Raw genomic sequence first — 26,014 nt, 5'->3', positions numbered from 1 at the left:
CCAAATAAGAAGTGAATTCATTCTGATGGCATAAGAAATTGATTCAATTCGGTACGTCAGCCAAAAAATATAAGTATTAATATTTCAATTAACAGTAATTTTGAGACAACATATGCAACACTGTAAAATGTTACTATACTTATATGCTGAAACTGTACTATATCCTAGTTAATTCTAAGCTATTAAGATATACAGTTGTCTCTCAGTACCCTCCACGGACACCAAAATCCACAGATGTTCGGGTTTCTTACATAAAATGGCATAGTATTTACATATAACCTACACACATCCTCCCAAATACTTTAAATCATCTCTAGATTACTTATAACACCTAATACAACGTAAATGCTATGTAGATAGTCAATTTTGGGGGTATTTTTTGGCAAATATTTTGATCTGTAGTTGGCTGAATCAAGAATACTAAAACTACAGCTACAGAGGGTAAACTATATATCAGATATTACAATTTTTTTCTTTCCCTTCACTGCAAAAGTAACGCAGAAAACAGACAACTGAGATAAACAACCAAAGCAAAGGTAGCTTTCTTTAAAAGAGTAATTTAAATAATAAAAAGACATGCTGAAACATTTTCCTTGGGATTACCATAAAAATCGTAATATTTAAAGCCAGCATAACTTGAATAGTAACAAAAGTTTACAGAAACATACATTTTGAATAACAAAATTTGTACAACAAAAAATACTTTCCATTTTTTATAAACCATTACCAAAAATATCTAAGAGATTAAATTACTATATTATATATCAATATTGATAATACTTGAGTTTTAAAAAGCAATACATTTTTATAAGAGCAAAACATGGTCATTTTCTAATTAATAGCATCATTTGAACTATGTTTTTGGAGAGAATGTTTCCCATGATTTTTTTTGTCTTTGCCAGTATTTTTTAAATCCCCAGTTTTGGGGTCAAGAAAACCAAGTTAAGCTGAAAAACAAATAGTTTTCTATGCAATTTTCCTCTGCAAGGTTTAAAAGAACAAGTACAGAATTTTTTCCCTATCTACTAACTACAATGAATGCTTGCTTACTTACTTATGGTTACTGTTTATTGTCTGAACCATGCTTGCTAAAATACAAACGCCATAATTTTTGTTCATTGTGTTCACTGATGTATCCCAGGCACTCAGAACGGTATTTGGCACTTAGTTGGCACTAATAAATACAGCTTAAACTGCATTTATGCCCTACTTAAGACAGCAAATGGTAATGCAGAAAGTGAGAGAATGCTATTATAAGGAAATGGTTCAAAAATAAAGTCATTAATAAACTTTCATATTTATTATTGTCAACATATATCTTATAAAGACATTCCTTGATTGATTAAATTTAATTGGCCTAAAAGACCAAGAGAGTCTTTTTTTTTTTTTTTTTGAGTCTCGCTCTGTTGCCCAGGCTGGAGTGCAGTGGCACAATCTCGGCTCACTACAACTTCCACCTCCAGGGTTCAAGAGATTCTCTTGTCTCAGCCTCCCGAGTAGCTGAGACTACAGGTGTCTGCTGTGGCGCCCGGCTCATTTTTTATATTTTTAGTAGAGATGGGATTTCACCATGTTGGCCAGGCTGGTCTTGAACTCCTGACCTCAAGTGATCCACCTGCCTCAGCCTCCCAAAGTGTAGGGATTACAGATGTGAGCCACCACACCCAGCCAAGAGAGTCTTATGGTTTACCTTTTAACCATGAAAAAATAATGTATCTTATTTTCTTCATTTAGAAGATTCACTTTGCAAAGACAACGATATAACTGAAGAAAGTATGTTCAGCCTTTGATATGACAACCACTCAACTTATTTGTGAAAGTATTAGTAAAAATAGTTCAAATTCGTAAAAATATTTAAAAATTACATATATCAGCTAATTTCTGACTAAAATTTATATAGCAGTGTTTGTTGAGATTTCTTCTCAGAGTGGGCTTTCAAGAATTTATAAATTTATTACTACTTAAGACTCACAAAGTACCCTTCTGCAAAATACTAAATATACTAAATGTACTGAAATGTGCCAGGATTCTTTCTGCAAATTTATTTAATTAGTGATATCACTTTTTTTTTTTTTAAGAGACAAAATTGGCTGGGCACAGTGACTCACACCTGTAATCCCAGCACTTTGGGAGGCTGAGGCGGGTGGATCACAAGGTCAGGAGTTCAAGACCAGCCTGGCCAAGATGGTGAAACCCCCGCCTCTACTAAAAATACAAAAATGAGCCAGGCATGGTGGTGGGTGCCTATAATCCCAGCTACTTAGGAGGCTGAGGCAGAGAATTCCTTGAACCTGGAAGGTGGAGGTTGCAGTGAGCCGAGATCACAACACCACACTCCAGCCTGGGCGACAGAGCAAGGCTCTGTCTCAAAAAAAAAAAAAAGGGGAGAGAGAGACAAAATCTCGGCATGTTGCCTAGGCTAGATTGATATCACCTTTTTAAGGTACTAAGGTATTTAAATGATTCATTTCTTTCAGTATTTACAGAGATTCTTTGGGTAATATTTGTTTAATGTCTCTGGAACAATAAACATATTTGATTTTTCAAAGTACTTTTTCTGAATCTGGAAGCTCGAGTGTAATATCAGTAAGATAAGGAGACTTAATAGAGTTGCCACGAGCCTTAAATAAGGTTAACATATATAAACCACTTATCATAATGCTTGGCACAGAAGAAGTGCTCCAAAAAAAGTAATTTTATTTTAATGCTGACAAGACATAGAAATTAAAAGTATGGGTGCTAGAATCAGCAGTGTCTAGACTGGAGTCTCAGTTCTGCTACATCATAGCTAGGTAACCTCACTGAACATCAATCTGTAAACTGGAGATAATAAATACCACCTCTCCCAGAGAATACTGGAAAAGGCTTAAATAAAATAATCATCAGTGGTGAGGCACCTCAGCATACCATGCAGCAAATTATTATGTGGTATATATTGACGTTGTTACATTATTTTATAGACCCATTTACAATTCTTTATATAATTAATATGCCACATGCTGTTGTAGGCAGCTTCTAAAATGGTTGCCAACTATCTCTGCGTCCACTATTCATGCCCTTGTATCATCTCCTCCTCTTGAGTGTTGGCTGCACCTAGTGACTTGTTTCTTAAATAGAATACAGTAAAAGTGACAGAATTTCATTTCCAAGATAAGGTTACAAAAGACTGGAGCTTCTGTGTCTTGCTCACATTGTCCCTGCTTGCTTATTCTGATGATACAAGCTACCATACTGTCAGCCATCATGCTGAGAGGCCCATGTGGAAAGGAGCTGAGGGCAGCCTTCAGACAACAGCCAACGAAGATTTAAAGTGCTCAGTCCTAAGACCACAAGCACCTCACAAGGTTGTTGAATCCCGCCAATGACCAGTGAACGTGAGCAAGCTTAGAAATGCACCATCACCAGTCAAGCCTCAAGACAGCTGTAGCTTTGGTCCACATCTTGAATGCAGGCTTTTTAAAGACCCTCACCTAGGAGATGGAGCTTAGCCAGAGGATCCAGCTAAACCATCCCTAAATTCTGACCAACAGATAATAAATTGTTGCTTTAAACCACTTAGTCTAAAGGTAATGTGTTACATAGCAATAAATAATTAATACATATGACTACCTCCTCTAGTAGGTTAAAAGCCTGATCTTCACTTCATGTGTTATTTTCTGTCTCTAGCAAGTTATAGAAAGCCCTGGGCACAGAATAGGCATTCAAGTTGCAGGACAGAACTGAGTCTTAATCACATTTCCTTATGTATTCTGCTAATACCTCTTATACATACCATAAAACAAAACTCAATTTACAGCAAATAAGAGATTTAACAGATACAATTACAATTATTGGTTTTATACTAATACCAGAGGTAAAAAAGCACATTTATTAATAGCTGCTAAACAGAGTTCCATCTCCAACCATGAAAGAATAACTACTAGATTAGCCTCACATATAAACTAGAAAACTTTAAAAAACATATTTAGAAAAACTGTTTTCAGATATTGGGCAAAGGTCAAAGAAGACTGTAATGTCTGAGAGAAAATTAACAATAAAAGTAAGCCCTATGATCACTTTAGCCTTCTGCCTAGAAGCATTTGCTGAACACCAGCACAGAAAGGAAGAACCCAAACAAAACACAGCCATCTTCCTCAGGTGAGAAGACAAAGACCAAAGTTCAGGGAATTTAAGGTAGGTGGAATTTGCAGGTCATTATACTAAAGAGGAGGTAGATACTCAGAAAGCTCCAAAATTTGCATAGGAGATCCTTTAAGTCTTTGGCAGGAAACTAAGTTATAGTAAGAACTCATGAGGCTTGCAAAGGACAATTATCAGAAATAGAAAAATTAAATACTGGGTAGCTAAAAGCTGAACACATCTCAAAGATTAGGCAAAGTTGACAGACCTGTGAGTTCCAACCAGGTACAATAAAAATACCACAGAGAAAACCTGCAGCATTCGGTAAAAATCCAAGAAATAAAACACCTTAGAAATTAAAATTAAGCAAGCAGGATCAGAAAATGTTTTCTGTAAAGGGCAAGATAAATATCTTAGGCTATGTGAGGCATATATAGTCACTGTCACATATACTTCTTAATTTTTATTTTTGTTTCTTTATAACCCTTTAAAAATGAAAAATCCATTCTTAGCTCATGAGCTATACAAAAATGGGCTGTGGACCAGATTTGGCTCATAAACCAAAGTCTACTGACTCCAGTTATAGAATAAAAGCTATGCCAACAAGAGCCCTAACAAAGCTTAAAAACAAGCTACAAAAGGATCAGTGTAATCCAAAAGTAAATTATCTGCCTGTCAAAATAAAACTCAACAATCTTCAAAGAAAGATAAGAAAATACAGACAATCAAAACTAGAAGGTGCATTTTATCAAAAGTTACAAAGAATATGAACAGAGGTCATGCTGTGATGCAGGCATCCAAAGACCTGCTAAAAGCTAAGGATGGAGCTGGAACACAGAGGAAAGACTCCAGCACCGAGGCTCCAAACCAAGAATGAAGAAGCAGCAAGCAGTCCACTACTGCAGGAATTTCAAGTTTCTGATTCAGTGAATTTAACTATTACAATCACAACAAAAAAACAAATCCAACTCAAACCACTGTTGGACTGACTCAATCTCTGCCCCATCCCAATCCACATATACACCAACATCATCAAAGAAGAAGGGTACCCGTTTCTGGGCATAAATACTATTCACCTCAATCTTTGTTGCCTTTTACCTAAAATGTCTGGCATGCAACAAAAAAACCATGAGATATAGATCTATAGATATAAATATATATATATAATATATATATAGATATATAGTTAAAAAAAAAACCCAAACCATAGTCAAAAGACAAAGCAAACACCAAAACCAGACTTCTAAATGAATCAGATATTTGAACTATCAGACAGAAAAGAGAATAATTGTAATTGATATATTAAAGGATCTCATGGTAAATATGAACAAAATACAAAAACAGATAAGGGATTCGGCAAAGAAGAAATGCTAAATGGACTATATCAGAAAATCTTCAACAGAATTATCAGAAGATTAGACAAAGCTAAAAACTCAGTGAGCTTGAAGAGAGGTAAATAGATATTATTCAAAATGAAACGCAAAGAGAAGAAACAGATTGAAATTTTTAAAAAACAGAATAGGAATTTTAAAGCTGTAGTATAATATCCAATGATCTAGTGCAGGTGTAACTGGAGTTTAATAATGTGAAGAAAACAAGAACAGAGAAGAAAATACATTTAAAGAGATGTTAGCTGGGAATTTTCCAAAGTAAAAAAATGATAAAACACCACAGGTCAAAGAAATGCAGAGAATTGCTAGTAGGGCAAAATTAAAATGTAGACAAAAAGCTGCTAAAAAACAAACTGAAAGAGAAAAATCTTTCAGGTAACTAGGAAAAAAGAAATATTACATACAGAGAAAAAAAAATGAGAACACACTACATGTAATAAAGAAGGCCAGTCAAAAAACAATGGAGCATCATCTTTAAAATACCAAGGGGGGAAAAACGGCAACTGAGCATTCTAGATAATACCTTTCACTGGATAAAATGAAGGCAAAACAAAGGCAAATAAAGGCAAAATCAAAACTCTTCCAGAAAAAAAAAGTTAAAAAATATTCTGTGCCGGCAAAATTGTACTATAAAAAATGTTAAATGAAATTTTTCAAGGAGGAGTATGATACCAGATAAAAATGCAGATCTGCACACACAAAAATAGCACCAGAAATGATGAAATCTAAAAAATCAGAGCTATTTTCCCTTAATTTAACCACATTAAAAGATAAAAAGCTGTTAAACTCAAAAATGGCAATAATGTATCACTGGGTTTATAATATATGTAGATGTAAAACATATGACAGAATATTTAAAAGATGAGACGGAGGAAATGGAAGTGCACAAAAGTCAAGTTGTCTCACTACACATGAACTGCTATATTATTTGAAAGTAGACTAATAATTTTATATATACATATACATATATATAAAGATCCAGAGCTACACTGCTTTAATAGCTACATGCAACTATTTAAATTAGAATTAAAATTAAAAATTTATTTCCCCAGCCTGAGCAACATAGTGAGACCCTGTCTCTATAAATAAATTAAAACTGGTGGTGCACGCCTATAGTCCCAGCTCCTTGGGAGGCTGAGGTGGGAGGATCACTTGAGCCCTGGAGGTTGAGGCTGCAGAGAGCCGTGATCACACCATTCTACTCCAGGATGGGTGACAGAGCAAGACCCTGTCTGGGGGAAAAAAAGAACGTATTTCCTCAGGCACAGTAGGCCACATTTTGATTGCTCAATAGCTACCTGTGTCTAGTGGTTACCATTACGAATGGTGTAGATACAGAGCATTTCCAACATCAGATGGCATTCCCCCAGAGCAACAAGTAGTTTTTATTAAATAAAATAAAAAGGTATAGCAAAGAAAAAGCCAGTGGTGAAGATAAAATGGAATTAAAAAATGAAAGTATAATTCATTAGAGAAAAAACAGAGAAGAGAAAGTTCTTGAGAAGACCAGAAAAAGTTTCACAGCTGCAGTAGAGAAGGGAGCACATTTGAAGTATTAATAAAAGAAATGACAATGAGCTGCAGTCTCCATTCTTCAGGATGATCACTTCGGAAGCATCCTCTACTATGTCAGCAGTAAGTAACTGACCTCCTAAATAATATACTTCATTTAGTGCAGTCATTCATGTTATGTAAATTTTATTTTTTAAATATGCAGCATGGTTCTTATCAACATTTATAATGGAAAGCAACTGGAAGAAATCTACCTAAATCTATACAACACTATGATCCATTCACTCATATGTTCAAAAACTAATCATTCAATTTCTATTACATAAAATACATTACATATCCCAGGCATTGAGGATGCAGCAGTGAACAAGACAGACACAAATCCCTGCCTTCAATAGGTAATATTACAGTGGGTTCTAATTGCAAAGTGAAGTAATGCCACTAAAACAAACAACCAAAAAAGAAAAAAAGCCTCTTCTTACAGCAACTAACATTCTGAGTGACTCAACAGAAACTGAATATAAACTATTCCACAAATAATTGCATTTTTTGCTATCATTTTATTTTTAAGCATAAAATTGAACACTGCCACCTGCATACCACAGTTATAATACTATAATTTGAAAATCAAAATATATGTACAGTGTCAGAATAAAACATGGTAATTTATTGTTGCAATCTTCAAAATCCTTATGTATTACACAATGTTTAAAATTATATATATAAACAGATGATCATTATGTCAAGATTTTACCGCAGAGCTGAAACTAAGCTATTTTATCACAAACATTTAGCACCTTTGTAAGATCCAACCATACTGAAAAAAATTTTCAGAAGTAGAACGAAGTCTCTATTAAATTTACAATGATTACGATAACTGTGTTGTCATTGTTGTGACCATTACCATCATCATAACTCCCCAAAAATATAAGCAGGCTAGGATGTGTTGTCTTTTTCTTTTTTAAAATTCAACATTCTTTTAAACATGTTTTACATACAAAAAGCTATACATAATATATACAACTTGATGAGTTTGCAAAGTAGACACCTGTGAACTCATCACCACAATCTATGCCATAAACCTATTCATCATCTGCAACAGTTTTCTCCCACTCTCTTATTTACTATCACTAATTTGTGTGTTTGTAGTAAGAATACTTTACGTAAGATCTATCCTCTTAGGAAATTTTTAACCATACAATACAGTATTGTTAACTATAGGCACCACGCTGTACAAAAGATTTCTGAGACTTATCTTTATAACCAAAACTCTGTACCCTTTGACTAATAATTCCTCATTTCCCCCTCCTACATTTCCTAAAGATAGATATAGCTCAATTATTCCATTAGACATAACAAAAAATGCAGTACCATTTATAATACGATCAAACTGACACTTCTTAAGTCTAACAAGAAAATGAACAATGGCCACATTTGGCATATGACTGTGTGAAAAGGATGTTTCCAAGAATCATATTCAAGCAGCTTGACTTTGATGCTGAGGCCAGAAGATGAGTATGCGACAATCTGCTGAAGATAAAAGCCTGGCCTGTTGTGCTATGAGCCATGTCAAAGGAGGGTTGCCTTTTAAACTCAAAAATAATTCAGCACTTATTTAAATAATAAAAATATGTGTACCCTATGCAAAGGGTAATACGGCATTATATATCAAATATTTACATACACATGCCCTTTGACAAGAAATTCCACATGCAAAAATTTATGCTAAGATGCATTTTAATATGTAAACAAAATGCATTCACATACTCTTTACATCATTGTCTGCAACAGCACTAAACTGGAAAAACAACGTAATTGCCCATCAACAGAAGTACAGTTGAATAAAGTATTAATTACTTTGCCAAAAATATGTATTTTATACTATGATGCCAACAAGAAGGAAAATGTAACCCATAACCAGGAGAAAATTAGTCCATTTAAACAGATCCAGAAAACAGAAATGACAATGATGACAGCAGACAAGAGCGCTGAAACAAGTATCGAAATATGTGCTAGGATTTAAAAGAAAAAATGAAAATGTTGAAAAAAGAAAACTACAATAAAAATGTATAACTTGTAGAACAAAAAATATCATATAGATGGTCCTCAAATTAACAATGGCTCAACTTAACAATTTTTCAACTTTATGATGGTATAAAAGCAATATATATTCAGTAGAAACCACTCTGAGTAACCCTACAACCATTTTGTTCTTCACTTTCAGTAAAGTATTCAATAAATTACAAAATATTCAACACTTCATTACAAAATAGTTTTGTGTTAAATGATTTTGTCCAACTGTAGGCTAATATAAGTGTTCTGGGCACATTTAAGGTAGGCTAAGCTATGATGTTCAGATTAGGTGTATTAAACATATTGCGACTCATGATACTTTCAACTTATGATGGGTTCATCAGAACACACAATGATCTTGTTAAAAAGAGCCTGGTATCTCCTCCCTTCTCTCTCTTGCACCCCTTCTCACCATGTGATACGCTGGCTCCCCCTTTGCCTTCTACCATGAGAGGAAGTTTCCTGAGGCTCTCACCCAGAAGCAGATGCTGGCATTATGCTTCTCCTACAGACTGCAAAGCTGGGAACCAAGTAAACTTTTTTGTTTTGTTTTGTTTTGTTTTTAGACAGAGTCTCGCTCTGTCACCCAGGCTGGAGTGCAGTGGCGAGATCTCGGCTCACTGCAACCTCCAACTCCTGGGTTCAAGCGATTCTCCTGCCTCAGCCTCCCAAGTAGCTGGGACTACAGGCACGCGCCACCATGCCCAACTGATTTTTTGTGTTTTTAGTAGAGACAGGTTTTCACTGTGTAAACCTCTTTTCTTTATAAAGTACCCAGTCTCAGGAATTCCTTCAGAGCAATGAAAAACAGACTAATACAGGTAGCCACTGTTGATAGGACTTATTGTCAGATACTACAGTGTTTTACAGCTTCACCACAGCTGCATCACCTTACAGTAACTATTATTGTGAACAAAAAACCGTTCAAATGATAAAAGGCAAATGAAACTCATCCATCATCATTAGTTAGGCAAAAAGCCATTTACAATATCCGTTTTGGGGCCAGTTGGAAATCTGTAAGCACTTCCCCATTTTTGAGTTTGGCTTCAGAAAAGGACTTCTCAGAACAAAATTTATCATCAAATTTGAAGTAATGTACATTGAAAATATGTTTAACCATGGGTATATATAGAATTTCCAATCTATTTTTAAATACAAATAAAACCATAATTTAGAGGGTAAAACAGCCACAAGATTGGGGGGTAAACCATACATGGTAACAAAGAAATGCAGGGGGCTTCTAATCAGAAAAAAATACAATCTAGTAAGACAATGGGACAACATCTTTTTAAAATGCTAAAAAAAAAAAATGACAAAACTACACTTTGTTATTCAGTAAAAATATATTCAAAAATAAAAGGTTTCTGTGAATGTGAACTTTCAGCTAACTTGGGTCAAATAGCTAGGAGTAGGATTGCTGGGTCACATGAAAAATGTATGTTTACAAGAAAATGCCAAACTCTATTCCAAAGTGGCTGCACCATTCTGAGTTGTCAGAAGCAATGAATAAGAACTCCTGTTGATCCACAATCTCCCTAGCATTTGGTATTGTCAGTTTGTTTAAAGGCAATTCTGGTAGCTGTGTAGTGGTATCAAAGTGTGGTTGCAATGTGTACTTTTCTAGTAACAAATGACACTGAACATCTGGCCATCTTTTCATGTGCTTATTTTGTATCCGTATATCTTCTCTGGTAAAGTATCTTTTGAGATCTTTCGCCCATTTTTTAGATTGCTTGTTTTCTTACTGCTGAGACTTGAGTTCTTTATATATTCTGAACATAAGTCTTTTATCAAATATATGATTTTCAAATATTTTCTCCCAGTCTGTGGCTTATCTTTTTATTCTTTTAACAGTATCTTGCACACAGCAAAATTTTTAAATTTTTTAAATATAATACAATATACTGACTTCTTTTCTTTTATAGACTGTGGTTTTGGTACTATGTCTATAAATTCAATGCTAAACCCAAAGTCCCATATATTTTCTCCTATGGGTTCTTTAAGAAGTTTTAGTTTGAGGTTTCAAAGTTAATCCACCCAAGAAAAATGAAAGCATATTTTTCCACAAAAAATTAATCTCAAATGTTTGCAGCAGCTTTATTCATAACAGACAAAAAACTGCAAAAAAAAAATCAAGATGGCCTTCAACAGGTGAACAGATTAACAAACATGATACATAGAAAACAAAGGAATACTAGTTAGTAATAAAAAGAAATAAGCCATTGATTTACTCAACAAAATGAATCTTAAATGTATGTTGCTAAGTGAAGGAAGACAAAACCAAAGACTACATATTGTGTGCTTCATTTACATGACATTACAGAAAGGGAAAAACTATAGGTTGAAAAATAGTTCAGTGGTTCCCAAGAGTTGAAAGTACAAGGAGGGGATGATTATAAAGTCCCTTCAAGAGTAACTTATATGATGAAACTATTCTAAATGATACTAAAAAAGGACCCATCAATTCTGTAGTACTCATCCTCTAAAACCATGAATCCAGTCTAATAATAAAAGAAAATATCAGACAAATCCTCATCTGGGGACATTCAACAAAATACCTAACCAGTACTCTTCAAAAGTATTGAACTATTAAAGTCATAAAAACAAACAACTGAGAAATTGCCATAGATTAGAGAAGTCTAAGGAGACATAATGACTAAATATACTGTGGTATCCTGAATTGAATCTTGGAACAGGGCAGGGACACCATGGAAAAACTGCTGAAATCCAAATGTAGTCTGTAGTTTAGAGTATTTCACTACTGTTAATTTATTAGTTTAGATGAATGTACCATGGCTACGTAAGATGTTAACATTAGGGGAACATGGGCAAAGAGTATACAGTGACTGTACTCTCTTTGCTAATTTTCTATAATTCTAAAATTATTCTGAAACAAAAAGCTTTTAAAAAATAAATGCAAAATAAGTATATTTTTGGAAAACAAAAAAATGGAAAGAACTTGTTGCCAGCTGATACATACTACAAGATATATTTAAAAGGATACTTTTCAGGCTGAAAGAAATGATTGTGGATAGAAACTTGAATGTAAATGATGGATTTAAACAGACATGTTAAATATATGGGTAAATACAAATAAAATTTTTTCTCATTTCTAATTTCTCTTTTTTCCACCCTGCCCCCTCCTCATTTCTAATTTCTTTCAAAATAAATTTGACTCAAAGCTAAAATAATAACAAAGTATTATGGGGTTTACAACACACACAATAGTAAAATATATGACAATACTTACACAAAACATAGCAAGCAGAAAAAAGGAAGGACACTGTTTTAAAGTCCCTATATTATACCTCAAGAGGTATAAAAGTATTTGAAAGTTTGGTGAAATACGTAAAAGGTTCACAGTGTAAGCTCTATGAATGTAATATAAAACCGATAAACAACAAAGAAAAATCAATGAAAACAAAAAATGGGTTCCCTGAAGTGATCAATAAAATTAAAAATCTTCCAGTTGGACTAATCAAGGGCATAAGGACACAAGCTGAAAAAAAAAAGAACATAAGCTGCTAATATTAGGAATGTAAGAGGCACTATCTGTAGTATTACTAGAGATACTACAAAAGAGTAATAAGAAAATATTACAAATAATTTTCGGTCAATAAATACGAAGTCATACCTGAAATGGACAGATTTCCTAAAAGAAACAAACTACTGAAGCTCAATAAAGAATAGATTACTTGAATAGCCTAATGACTTAAAAACTTAAAGCTTAAGGAAGTTGAATGCGTATTTGTAAATCTTCCCATGAAGAAAACTCTAGGCCCATATTGCTTTATGTGCGAATTCTACCATTTACATAACATGGTAGATATAACAACAATTCTACACAAAGAGTTCTAGAAAATGGAAAAAGAAAAATAAACAGCTTGTCAATTTCTTGCAAATATATACTTACCGTATACCTCAACAATTCTATTCAGGTATTTACAAAGGAACTTAAGATGTATGTCCATACAAAGACTAGTACATGAGTATTCATAGTAACTTTATTTATTTACAACAGCCAAAGATTTGGAACAATCCAGGCATCTTCAAGCAGGTGAATGGATAAACAAATTATGGCACATTCATACAATGGAAAACTGTTCATCAGTTTAAAAAAACAACAACTACCAGTATACACAATATGGTTAAATCTCAAAAACATGCCTGACAAAAAATGCCAGGGACAAAAAAAATACACACTGTATGACTCTATTTTCGGCCAATAAATATGAAGTCATACCTGAAATGGACAGATTCCCTAAAAGAAACAAACTACTGAAGCTCAATAAAGAATAGATTACTTGAATAGCCTAATGACTTAAAAACTTAAATTCATAAAATTATGAAGTTCTACAACAAAGAAACTAACAGATAGTGATGGAAATCAGACTAGTACTTGCCAGCAAGTACGAAGATGACTGATTAAGAAAGGAAATGACAGTTACATGAGGATATAGATTTAAGAAATATCATCTAACTGTATACTTAATATGGGTTCACTGATGTAAATTATGTTCCAATAAGGTTGACAAAAATTTTAAGAGAAAGTTTAAATTACCCCTATTTTGTGACTATAATTGAAAATGTCAATAATTGAAAGTTGTTATTTCATTAAATGCCTAAATTATGTCCTTGCATTTAAGTTTCAATGAGACAGATTTTTTCAGCAAATCATCACCTAGTACATTCTTACTTTTAATGAAAAAAATTTCAACAGCATTTATTATATAGATGTAATAAACTTTCCAAATGTTAAAGTGAAAACTATATTTTTCACAAATTTCAGACAATAAGAATCAACTTAAATAACTAGTAATATAATTAACAAACCAGAGAAATTGTACTGAACATTCTTACTAACCTAACCTTTTCTCAGAATAAAAGGAATCATCATAAATTATTCAAATAATAGTGATTTCCTAAATTAAAATATACACTGCAGTTATAAGAGTTATCAATTTACTTTTTTAACAACTGAAAAGAGTAAAAACCAAAATCATTATTACAAAGTGTTTCTTGAAGTAATTCAACATAATAGAATAAACTGAAAAATTTAACAGAAAAGTGAAGTCATTTATTTAGCAAATTTAACGAATGACTGTTACAAGGTAACAGATTGAGCATGACATATTTCACACTCATTTTCTTCATTAACAATCTACTAGAAAACAAAAATTTTTCAAGTTGATAAAGAGAATTATAAATAAAACTTTTAAAGAAAAGCTAATTATCAATTATAATGTACAAACATTTTAAGAGCCATATATAGTACATACATAATCCAATCCTATTCAGGATTAATATGTGCCCAAGACTCTATTTTTTAAATATCTTCTCCTTTGATCGCAATTCATTTTTTAACTAAATATTGTTACAGAATTTATTAAAATCTTTTTTATTGCTTTGCTCCCTATACGGGAAAAGGGTAATTTACAAATAATGTGTTTATTAATGTAAGAAAGAAGTAGAAAGGAACAAGTAAAAATAGTATTATAAATTAAAAGGGTCCTTTAATGCTAGCTGAAATAAACTTTTACTTTATGTAAAAGCATTTGGTAAAACCAACTAAACTGAAATGAAGACAACGAAAAAGAGAGGTGGGGGAAAGGGAGGGGAAGAAAGAGGAGAGGAGGGGAAGGAAGAGGAGAGGATGAAAAGAGAGAAGAAGAGGGTAAGACAGGGAGGAAAAGAGGGCAGAGCAGGACAGAGAAAAGAAAATTTTCATATAAATCCTACCAAGATTATAAAATTTGATTTTCATTCATTACTTATACTCATCTATCATACTTCATATTTCTTATCAGTAGTGTCATAGTATATACATATGAATTTAAAATGCCAGCATCATAAATACATGAATACAAAATACTAATTCACTGAAATCAGCCAATATCTTAGAAATTAATCTTCCTAGTTATAAAGTACAAACACATAATCACATTTATAAGGTTCTTATCAAGAATATCTCACTCACCTTAACAATTACACACAATAACACACCAGGCTGTGTTTACTGATACAATTAACTACTCAAATGGGTCTAGAAATCTGGACTTGCCATCTGTACCTTCAGCCCTAAATAAATTAATACTGCTGAAAAATGGTAATACTAGTAAATTCAAATGAAATGTGTATATATATCACCATTTTCTCCAATTGTGTGTGTGTGTGCACATAAATAATATATACTTGATTGGCACCATGATGTGTTAATATTAGAAAGAGCAACCATTTCAAATCAATCACATATGGACAGTTTACCCTGCTATAAAGTAGGAGTCATAATCGTAGAAACTCACATAATTGTGAAGATTATGATAATATGCATAAAAGTGATTTGTACACAGTAAAACAATCTATAAATATTAGTTATTATCTTTCCCTTGCTTAGAAACCAAGTAGATCAGCCTTCTGCCAGTTTCTGGAATATGCCAAGTTCTTACCCAACATGCAGCCTTTGTTCTTGCTATTCCTTCCACCTTTGGCTCATTCTTATAATTCAGATCTCTACTTATATTATACTTCTTTTCCAAAAAACAGCCCCTGACAACTAGTATCAATTACGACACATTAGGATACAAGAGAAATTGCAACTCAAGGTGACTTTAAAAATAAGAAAATTTTAGTTTCTCAACAGCAAAAAAGCTAATTCAATGGGGTTCAATGAAACTGTGAAAAATCCCTTTTCATCTTTCTATTCTACCTTAGCATATCTGTTTTTGTCCTCTAGCTAACTTTCTTCCTGGTAGCAAGTTAGCTGCCTCAATTCCAGCCATATGCAATTATGTGCAAAAGAACAACTGGGAATCTGTCTCTTAATTTTAAGAGAGAGGAAACCACTGACAGTCATCTCCCCTGAAGACCTGCACATCTTCCTAGCCAAGATTGAGTCATCTGTCCCTTGTAAACTCAATCACTGACAAATGGAATAGATTCCCATTACCAGCTTAGACTAATCAGAATTTATCCCTGAGGGTAGGCTCCAAAACAAAACTGGGACCCTAAAAACAAGAAAGAACGAAAGAATGACTACAATACCCTACAAGAATGCTACATACAACACTCTATGTTTTTTTTAAAAAAACACTCACCCTCTTCCATTATTCTCTATTATAACACAAATTGGCTTATTTATCTATTTCCTATACTAAAAGGTATGTATCAGTAGAGCAAGAGCTAAAAGTATACATAGCACCTAAAACAGAGCAAGCTCTTTATTAGTATTTGTTGAATAAGCCCATACATATTATCCAAATTTATATTTATTTAATACCTATATTCAAAATCCCAAGCAAAATAAAAATTAAATCAGGCCTTATAAGAATTAGAACTAAGATTCAAAGTCATTTTCATATGTTTACTCATTTATATTTACGTGCATAAAATGTCAAAAGCAGATGTTCAGAAATAGGTCCAAATGTAATTTCGAAGAAATAACTTGCATTCAAATCAACTCTTGATAAGCTGCAGGGTCCTTAAACACAACATTTAATAGTTATAAGGAGAGATAAATGGATTGCAAAAAAAATTCCTAGTCATGGCCAGGCGCGGTGGCTCACGCCTGTAATCCCAGCACTTTGGGAGGTCGAGGCGGGCAGATCACCTGAGGTCAGGGGTTTGAGACCAGCCTGACCAACATGGTGAAACCCCATCTCTACTAAAAATACAAAATTAGCCAGGCATGGTGGCGCATGCCTGTAACCCCAGCTACTCAGGAGGCTGAGGCTGGATAATCGCTTGAACCCAGGAAGCGGAGGTTGCAGTGAGCCAATATCGCGCCATTGCACTCCAGCCTGGGCAACAAGAGCAAAACTCCGTCTCAAAAAAAAATAAAAAATTCCTAGTCATATACAACACAAATAATGAATAAACATTAACAATCTTTCCAGGGAACAGTTTCTAAAGAACAATAGATTCAAAGGTGCAAATTCAAACACATTCAAAACTGTTTCTACAGAATAGTAGGGATTCAAAAGTGCAGTAAACATGCACTCTTCATACAAGAGACATGAAAGCCCTTTAAAGGCTAATCTTTACTACTGCATGTATGAAGAATATCATAATGGTATCACTGGCTGGTATTCAATTCACTAACACATAGGCCAGATTAGTGGCATAGAGTATATATCTCACAAAATAAGGGAAACAAATAAATTATGGTACAACCATTGTGGGATACTATGGCTCAGTTTGATATGCTAAAGACAAATACACATAATATGTTAGGTGAACAGTTAGGACACAGAGGGATCTGATAATGTTGGATGATGGTATAAGATCTTGGAAAGTACAGGCTCTAAGGTTAGACAGAACAAGGTCTAAATCCTGGCACCGCTAATATAGAAATGGGACAGTAAAGAATCAAGCAGGACATATCCGAACCTGCATTACTTTGTCTTTAAAATGACCGTCATAATTCCTATTACGCTGGTCTCTCATTAAGTATAATAATAACGATTACATTTATATAGTGTTTCCTGAATGCAAGGCCCTTTACTAATTGCTTCACAGATATCATAATATTTAATCCTCTCAATACCCTTACGACGTAGGTAGGTATTATTATCCCCATTTTACAGTGAAGAAAATTAAGGTACGCTGAATTTAAATAACTTCCCCAAGGTCATAAAGCCAGTAAGTAGCAGAACCAGAATCAATGGCAGCTTTTTTCTATTATTAAGAACATGCTGGCTTTAAGAATTGCAAGAGAAAACTAGAAAATCTCCTCTATGTATACTTTTAACACAAGGACAGGCAACCCCACAATTATTTTTATATTCGTGAGTGAAAACCACAAATATTTTTTATGATTTGTGAATGAAAACCAAAATATCTTATAATGGTTAATTTTTTATGTCAACGTGACTGGGTTAAGGGATACCCAGATCACTGGTAAAACATCATTTCTGGGTGTGTCAGTGAGGGTGTTCCCAGAAGAGATTAGCATTTGAATTAGTAGACTGAATAAAGAACATGTGCCCTCACCAATGTGAGCAGGCATCATTCAGTCCTTTGAGGACCACCTGAATTAAACAAAAAGGTTGAGGATGGGTGAATTCTCACTCTCTTCTTGAGCTGGTACTTTCACCTCCTGCTCTCAAATACCAGAGCTACTAATTGTTGGGCCTTCAGACTCCAAGACTTATCCAGCAGCAGCAATCCCCTCCGAAGGCCTTCCACCTTGAACTGAGACTTAGACCTTGGGTTCCCCTGGTTTTCTGGCCTTTGAGCTTGGACTAATTCACACCACTGGCTTTCCTGTTCTCCAGCCTGCAGATGGCATATGGTGGGACATCTTGAATGACTATAATCCCATGATAAATCTCCTCTTATGTATCTATTTATTTATACCCTATTGGTACTGTTTCTCTAGACAACCCTGACAATTACGCATCTTTATATTAACAAGTAAAAGAATATCAACATTTGTTGTAAAGGCTCAACCTCTCCCTCAGGAAATAGCTAATGTTTTCTAACATTTTTTTCAAATTTACCAATCCAACATTTTGAGATAAGACACTTGAAGTCTCATTAATAAAATATGATTTACCAGAAAAAAATAAGGTTATAAACACTTCATTTAACAATGGCATAACAAAGAATCATATGAAAAACCATTAATCTATATTCCAAAGACCAGAGTGATCTGTGCCGCCTAGCTTTCTTAACCATCCCCAATATCCATCAAAATGTGACCTGATAACTAGTTGTACAAATGTCATTGAATTATTACATATTTCCTTTTTTCCAAAGTTTCACATTTTCCTTTAATACAATATTCCAGTTTCACTAGCATGATTAAAGTAGATCTACAATCTTCTCACTTCGTTAGTTATTTATGCTACTCTCCAGCTCTCCATACACAACACATGCTCCTGTGTACATAAACCATTCCATCTCAACAGTGTTTCATTATTTACACTTCTTCCTCTTGGTATAGGGATACAATTCTGAACATTACAGAGTATCTCAACATAGCAATAGCTTAAGCAATATTGAGATTTGGTTTTTTCTTTTGTAAAAGAAGTCTGGAGATAGGTGAAGTAGAGATGATGGTTGCACAAAGTCCTCAGGGACCCAAGCTTCTAGCTTTCTCTTCCACCACTCTAGATGCCTGGCTTCCATCTTCAAGACTGCCTCATGGTACAAAATGATTGTTAATGCTCCAGTTATTACACTTTCAATAAAGTGGAAGAAAACTGAATGGTAAAAAGGTATGCCTTCCCAGCTGAGCCACTGTCTTTTAGAAGTACACACATAATACTTCTGCTTTCATCTCTTTTTTGCCAGAATTTAATCACATGGCTGGGAAATAGTCTTTTCTTCTAGTCATCCATGTACCCAGTTAAAACAAACAAACAAAAATCAGGGTTCTATTACTATAGAGGAAAGGGGAAATGAACTTTAGGGGCATCATGACTCCCTATCTATTTCTGACAGCTTCAGAATCACTACTGATGTTGAGAAAAGTTTTATATCATATCTTTAATATAATACAGCTGGTGTCAAAGCTATCCCCAATAAGTGCTTTTACTTCCCTGGCCATCTGTCGAGTGTGGCCAATTCTAAACAATACTTTTAACACAACAGGTATACTAAGGTTACAATTTTGAAGTATCATTGGATAGGATTCTTGGATCTACCATATCTTGCACATGATCTGGGAGAGAAAAGTTAATATGTTTTATACAAGTTACCTAAAAGAATGTTGGGACTCATTCTGTGTGTCTCCACCAATTAGCCAATCAATGGAGTTACACAGTGTGGTCTTTTTCTGCCACAAATATTGGATCCATACTTATTCCACAGACATATATGCTTCATTATAATTATCACAACCCCATTTTATACATAATTGGCTGAAAATGTACTAGGAACCTGTACAAAGTGTTTTACTTATTTTATTCATTCAGGCCTCACAACAACCCTATTATGTTATTTTTACCCAGGTTTAAATCTGGCACATAGTAAACACTCAATAAACATTCTCTATTATCTCTATTAGTACATAAATAAGTACCCATATTATCCTTAATTTACAGATAAGAAAGAAGAAGCAAAAAATTTAGTAACTTGCCCAGAGTCGTACATACTTTTAAGTAGTAGAGCCAGGATTCAAATCCCTACAAGCTAGCTCTAGAGTCCACTCAACTACTGAACTATGCTAATATCAGGTAAAACACAAAAGGTTAATTAATTTGCCTAAGATCACAAAACCAGGAAGAGCAAAGATTTATTTAATGATGAAGCCCTTGCTCTCAACTTCAAATGAATCAAAGAAACACGGTATGGCTGACCAAGGGATTATTACTCTTCACGGGCAGAGTTACAAGGGAACACACTACCAAAGTAACAAACATAATATATGAATTTCAATGGTAAGCAATTTAGGACGATGAAATACAGTGTACATCCATATTGCCTAGGTAACACTACAGGTAGACCCATCTCTTTTAGCCATAATAGAACAAAAACAAAAGCAGTTTTGGCAAGTGTATGTAGTGACTACCATGTATCGATGTGAGTTTTCTCACAAATGAGTAACAACTAATATCTAAAAGATCTTGAATAATTAAATGTCTTCATTTTATATCGGCCAGCAGAAAATTAAAGGGGAACAATTTTTTGCTACACCAAACTCAATGGATTTATCTAGAAGCAGCGTTTTTTTTGTGTTTGTTTTGTTTTGTTTTGTTTTTTGAGACAGAGTCTTGCTCTGTCACCCAAGCTGGAGTGCAATGGCGCGATCTTGGCTCACTGCCAACCTCCACCTCCAGGGTTCAAGCAATTCTCCTGCCTCAGCCTCCTGAGTAGCTGGGATTACAGGCGCATGCCACCACACCCACTTAACTTTTGTATTTTTAGTAGAGACAGGGTTTCATCATGTTGGCCAGGCTGGTCTCGAACTCCTGACCTCAGGCAATCCACCTACCTCGGCCACCCAAACTACTGGGATTACAGGCGTGAGCCACCATTCCCGGCCTAGAAGCAGCAATTTTTAAAGATATCAGTAGCGACTTCCAGGGATATGGTGGGGTCTTTGTCTCACTCCAGCCAGAGCTTGGGGTCCTGTATTCACTGCTTCATGTCCTCAGCTCCAGGAGCCATAGATGGTCGACCAGATGCAGCCAGGAGGAACCTCTCTAACTGAGGGACCAGGACATCAGGGAGACTGATACACTTCTAGCAGATCTTCAGAGGGAAGGCACTGAAAGAACAGGGGCTGATGTGAAGAGAGAGGAAGCTGGAAACCCTTCAGGAGCTACCACACACTAAGGCTCATTATTGGTCCCCAACAACTCCAGCGGAGAGGGTGAGTTGAACAGGCAAGGAGCGACCCACTCTGGCCACAGGCCTCTGGAATCCCAGCAGGAGGAGACCCCTCAAACACCATGGACACTTGAGTTGGCAGGGAAAGCTGCTTCGAGAAGTGGTAAGGATAGAGCCCAGAGGGTTTGGTGTGGGAGCATCTGTAGTGGAGCACAGCCAGGGACACCTAACCCACTAGGCTCGACTTGCTCCCATAGGAGACTTTGGCCCTAGGGGACTAAAGAGTCAGACCTGAACTCACTGCTCCGAATGCCTGCAGGGAGGCCAGCACCCACTAACACCCTGCTACAGCCAATGAACATGCACCCCGCCACATTGCCACTGCCGCTGGCACATGCGAACAAGGATAGATCCCGTTGCCATCACCCTATGAAGTGCTTTGGCTGGCACCACCTATCAAAGTGTTGTGACTAGCAGTCCGAGGGCACCTCGGCCACTCCAGCACAACAGTTCACAGAACCCATGTTATACCACAATCAAAGCCCCAAGGTCGTCAAACAGAATAAAAGAAAAAACACCCATTCTTATGACAGCAACTTCAAAGACTGAAGAAACATTAGCCCACAAAGATGAGAAAGAACCAGCACAAGAACTCCAACAACTCGGCCAGGTGCAGTGGCTCATGCCTGTAATTCCAGCAGTTTGGGAGGCCAAGGTGGGTGGATCACAAGGTCAGGAGATCGAGACCATCCTGGCTAACATGGTGAAACCCAGTCTCTACTAAAAATACAAAAAATTAGCCGGGCGTGGTGGCAGGTGCCTGTAGTCCCAGCTACTCAGGAGGCTGAGACAGGAGAAAGGCGTGAACCTGGGAGGCGGAGCTTACAGTGAGCTGAGATCACGCCACTGCACTCCATCCTGGGCAACAGAGCAAGATTCCGTCAAAAAAAATATGTAAGTAATAATAATAATAATCATAGTAATAATAGTAATAATAATAAAAACTCCAACAACTCAAAAAACCAGAGTGTCTTCTTTCCTCCCAATGACTACACTAGTTCTCCAGCAAGGGTTCTTAACTGGGCTGACATGGCTGAAACAACAAATAAAATTCAGAATATGGATAAGAAAAAAGAGCATCAAGATTCAGGAGAACACTAAAAGCCAATCTAAGCAAGCTAAGAAGCACAATAAAATGATACAAGAGCTGAAAGACAAAATAGCCAGTACAGAAAAAACATAATTGATCTGATAGAGCTGAAAAAACCTCTATAAGAATCTCAAGTATTAACAGCAAAACAGACCAAGCTGAGGAAAAAAAATCATAGAACTTGAAGACTGGCTTTCTGAAATAAGACAGTCAGCAAAAAAAAAAAAAAAAGAAGAAGAAGATGAAGAACAAAAGGGAATAGCAAAACCTCCAGGAAATATGGGATTATGTAAAGAGACCAAATCTACAACTCATCGGCATCCTTGAAAGAAATGGGGAGACTGGAAGCAACCTGGAAAACACTTTTCAGGATACCATCATGAGAACTTTCTGAACCTATAGAGAGAGGCCAACATTCACAGGAAATGCAGAGAACCCCTGCAAAATACTTTACAAGAAGATTATGCCCAAGATACATAATCATCAGATTCTATGAGGCTGAAATGAAAGAAAACATGTTAAAGGCAGCTAGAGAGATAGAACAGGCCACCTACAAAAGGAAGCCCAACAGACTAACAACAGACCTCTCAGAAGAAACCTCATAAGTCAGAAGAGATTGGGGGTCTATATTCAATATCTTGAAGAAATGATATTCCAACCAAGAACTTCATAACTGGCCAAACTAAACTTCATAAGTGAAGGAGAAATAAGATCCTTTTCAGACAAGCAAATGCTGAGGGAATTCATTACCACCAGACTTGCCTTACAAGAGCCCCTTAAAGAAGCACTAAATATGGAAAGGAAAGACCATTAGCAACCACTACAAAAACACACTGAAGTACACAGACCAAGTGACACTATAAAGCAACCACACAAACAAGTAGGTATAATAAAAAGCTAACAACACAATAACAAGATCAAATCCACACATATCCATACTAGCCTTGAATGTAAATGGTCTAAATGCCCCCAATTAAAAGGCACAGAATGGCAAGCTAAATAAAGAAGCACAACTCAATGGTATGCTGTCTTCAAGAGACACATCTCACGTGCAATGACACCCGTAGGCTAAAAAATAAAGAGATGGAGAAAAATCTACCAAGCAAATGGAAAGCAGAAAAAAACAGATTTTAAGCCAACAAAGATCAAAACAGACAAAAAAGGGCATGACATAATGGTAAAAGGTTTAATTCAACAAGAAGACCTAACTATCCTAAATATATATGCACCCAACACAGGAGTATCCAGATTCATAAATCAAGTTCCTAGGAACCTTCAAAGAGACTTAGACTCCCACACAATAACAGTGGGAGTCTTCAACACCTCACCAACAGTATTAGACAGATCATTGAGATAAAAAATTAACAAAGATATTTAGGAACTGAACTCAACACTGGGCCAAATAGATCCAAATGGACATCTATAGAACTCTACCCCAAAACAAAAGAATATACATTCTTCTCATCTGCACATGGCACATACTCTAAAACTGACCACACAGTCAGACAAAAAACAATTCTCAGCAAATGCAAAAGAGCGGAAATCATACCAACTACTCTCTCGGAACACAGCATAATAAAAATAGAAGTTGGGACTAAGAAAATCACTCACAACCATATAATTACATGGAAATAAAACAACCTGCTGCTGAATGACTTCTGAGTAAGGCAGAAACCAAAGAAGTTCTTTAACATTAGTGAGAACAAAGATACAACATACCCAGCATCTCTGGGACACAGCTAAGGCAGTGTTATGGGAGAAATGTATAGCACTAAACACTCTCATCAAAAAGTTAGAAAGAGCTGGGCACAGTGCCTCACACCTGTAATCCCAGCACTTTGGGAGGCCAAGGCAGGCAGATCACTTGAGGCCAGGAGTTCGAGATCAGACTGGCCAACATTGTGAAACCCCGTCTCTACTAAAAATATAAAAAATTGGCTGGGCTTGGTGGTGTACGTCAGTAATCCTAGCTACTCATGACGCTGAGGCATGAGAATCGCTTGAACCTGGGAGGCAGAGGCTGCAATGGGCCAAGATCGTGCCATAGCATTCCAGCCTGGGCAACAGAGCGAGACTGTCTCAAAAAAAATAAAATAAAATAAAAAATAAAAAATAAAATTAAAAAATAGCATTTATATACATATGTATATATAACATATATACATATATATTAGATCTCAATTTAACAACCTAATATCACAACTAAAAGAACTAGAGATGCAAGAGCAAATCAATCCCAAAGCTAGCAGAATAACCAAAATCAGAGCTGAACTGAAGGAGACTGAAACACACACACAAAAAATCATCCAAAAGATCAATGAAGTCAGGAGTTTGTTTTTTGAAAAAATTAACAAGATTCATAGACCACTAGCTAGACTAATAAAGAAAAAAAGAGAAGATCCAAATAAACACAATCAAAAACAACAAAGGGGGATATTATTACAGATTGGACAGAAATACAAATAACCAGACAATTATGAACACCTTTAGGCACAAAAACTAGAAAGTCTAGAAAAAAATGGATAAATTCCTGAACACATACACCCTCCCATGACTGAACCAGGAAGAAACTGAATCCCTGAACAGACCAATAATGAGCTCCAAAATTTAATCAGTAATAAATAGCCTACCAACCAAAAAAAAAAAAAAAAGAAAAACAGCCCTGAACCAGACAGATTAACAGCCTAATTCTACCAGATGTACAAAGAAGAGCTAGTACCATACCTACTAAAACTATTACAAAAAAATTGAGGGTAAGGGAATCCTCCCTAAATGATTCTATAAGGCCAGCATCATGATGATACTAAAACTTGGAAGACATACAACAAAGAAAGAGAACTCCAGCCTGGGCGACATGGTGAAACTCCATCTCTAAAAATAAAATAAAATAAAAAATAAAATAAAATAAAAATTAGCCAGGCATGGTAGCACATGCCTATAGTCTCAGCTATTCAGGAGGTTGAAGTGGGAAGATCACTTGAGTCTGGGAGGTTAAGGCTGCAGTGAGTCATGTTTGCACACTGTACTCCAGGCTGGGTGACAAAGTGAGACCCTGGCTCAAAAAACAAAGACAAAAAAAAAGTACCTTTGTTTCTCAAGGAAAAAAAAGAGAAGAAAACTTCAAGTCAATATCCTTGATGAACACTGATGCAAAAATCTTCAACAAAATACTAGCGAAACAAATCCGGAAGCATATTGAAAAGCTAATTCACCATGATCAAGTAGGGCTTATCCCTGGGATGCAAGGTTGGTTCAACTTATGCAAATCAATAAGTATGATTCATCACACAACTATAACTACAGACAAAAACCACATGATCATCTCAATACATACAGAAAAGACTTTCGGCAAAAGTCACCATCCCTTCATGTTAAAAACTCTCAATGAACTAGGTATTGAAGGAACATACATCAAAATAATAAAAGCCATTTATGACAAACCCACAGCCAACATCACACTGAATGGGCAAAAGCTGAACACTGGCACAAGACAAAG

At 35.4% G+C, this 26,014-nt stretch overlaps 1 protein-coding gene across 13 annotated transcripts in view, besides 3 other annotated features; it reads right to left on the bottom strand.

The window, feature by feature from the left end:
- FUT8 (fucosyltransferase 8) overlaps nucleotides 1-26,014 on the bottom strand; it is a 387,280-nt gene that overhangs the window by 184,403 nt on the left and 176,863 nt on the right. The window lies entirely within an intron of this gene.
- Nucleotides 8,334-8,628: a silencer, noted in NCBI's record as "tiled region #13095; K562 Repressive DNase matched - State 9:DNaseU". NCBI's record gives its function as "represses a minimal TATA promoter and a strong SV40 promoter by Sharpr-MPRA in K562 cells {active_cell/tissue: K562}" and the evidence as "EXISTENCE:reporter gene assay evidence [ECO:0000049][PMID:27701403]".
- Nucleotides 21,233-21,741: an enhancer, noted in NCBI's record as "H3K27ac-H3K4me1 hESC enhancer chr14:66004696-66005204 (GRCh37/hg19 assembly coordinates)". NCBI's record gives its function as "activates a minimal SCP1, AML or CMV promoter by ChIP-STARR-seq in primed H9 embryonic stem cells {active_cell/tissue: H9 hESC(primed)}" and the evidence as "EXISTENCE:reporter gene assay evidence [ECO:0000049][PMID:30033119]".
- Nucleotides 21,742-22,251: an enhancer, noted in NCBI's record as "H3K27ac-H3K4me1 hESC enhancer chr14:66004186-66004695 (GRCh37/hg19 assembly coordinates)". NCBI's record gives its function as "activates a minimal SCP1, AML or CMV promoter by ChIP-STARR-seq in primed H9 embryonic stem cells {active_cell/tissue: H9 hESC(primed)}" and the evidence as "EXISTENCE:reporter gene assay evidence [ECO:0000049][PMID:30033119]".

Source organism: Homo sapiens, chromosome 14, assembly GCF_000001405.40.
Source record: "Homo sapiens chromosome 14, GRCh38.p14 Primary Assembly".
Lineage (NCBI taxonomy): Eukaryota > Metazoa > Chordata > Mammalia > Primates > Hominidae > Homo > Homo sapiens.
This window is presented reverse-complemented; position numbering and strand designations above follow the sequence as displayed.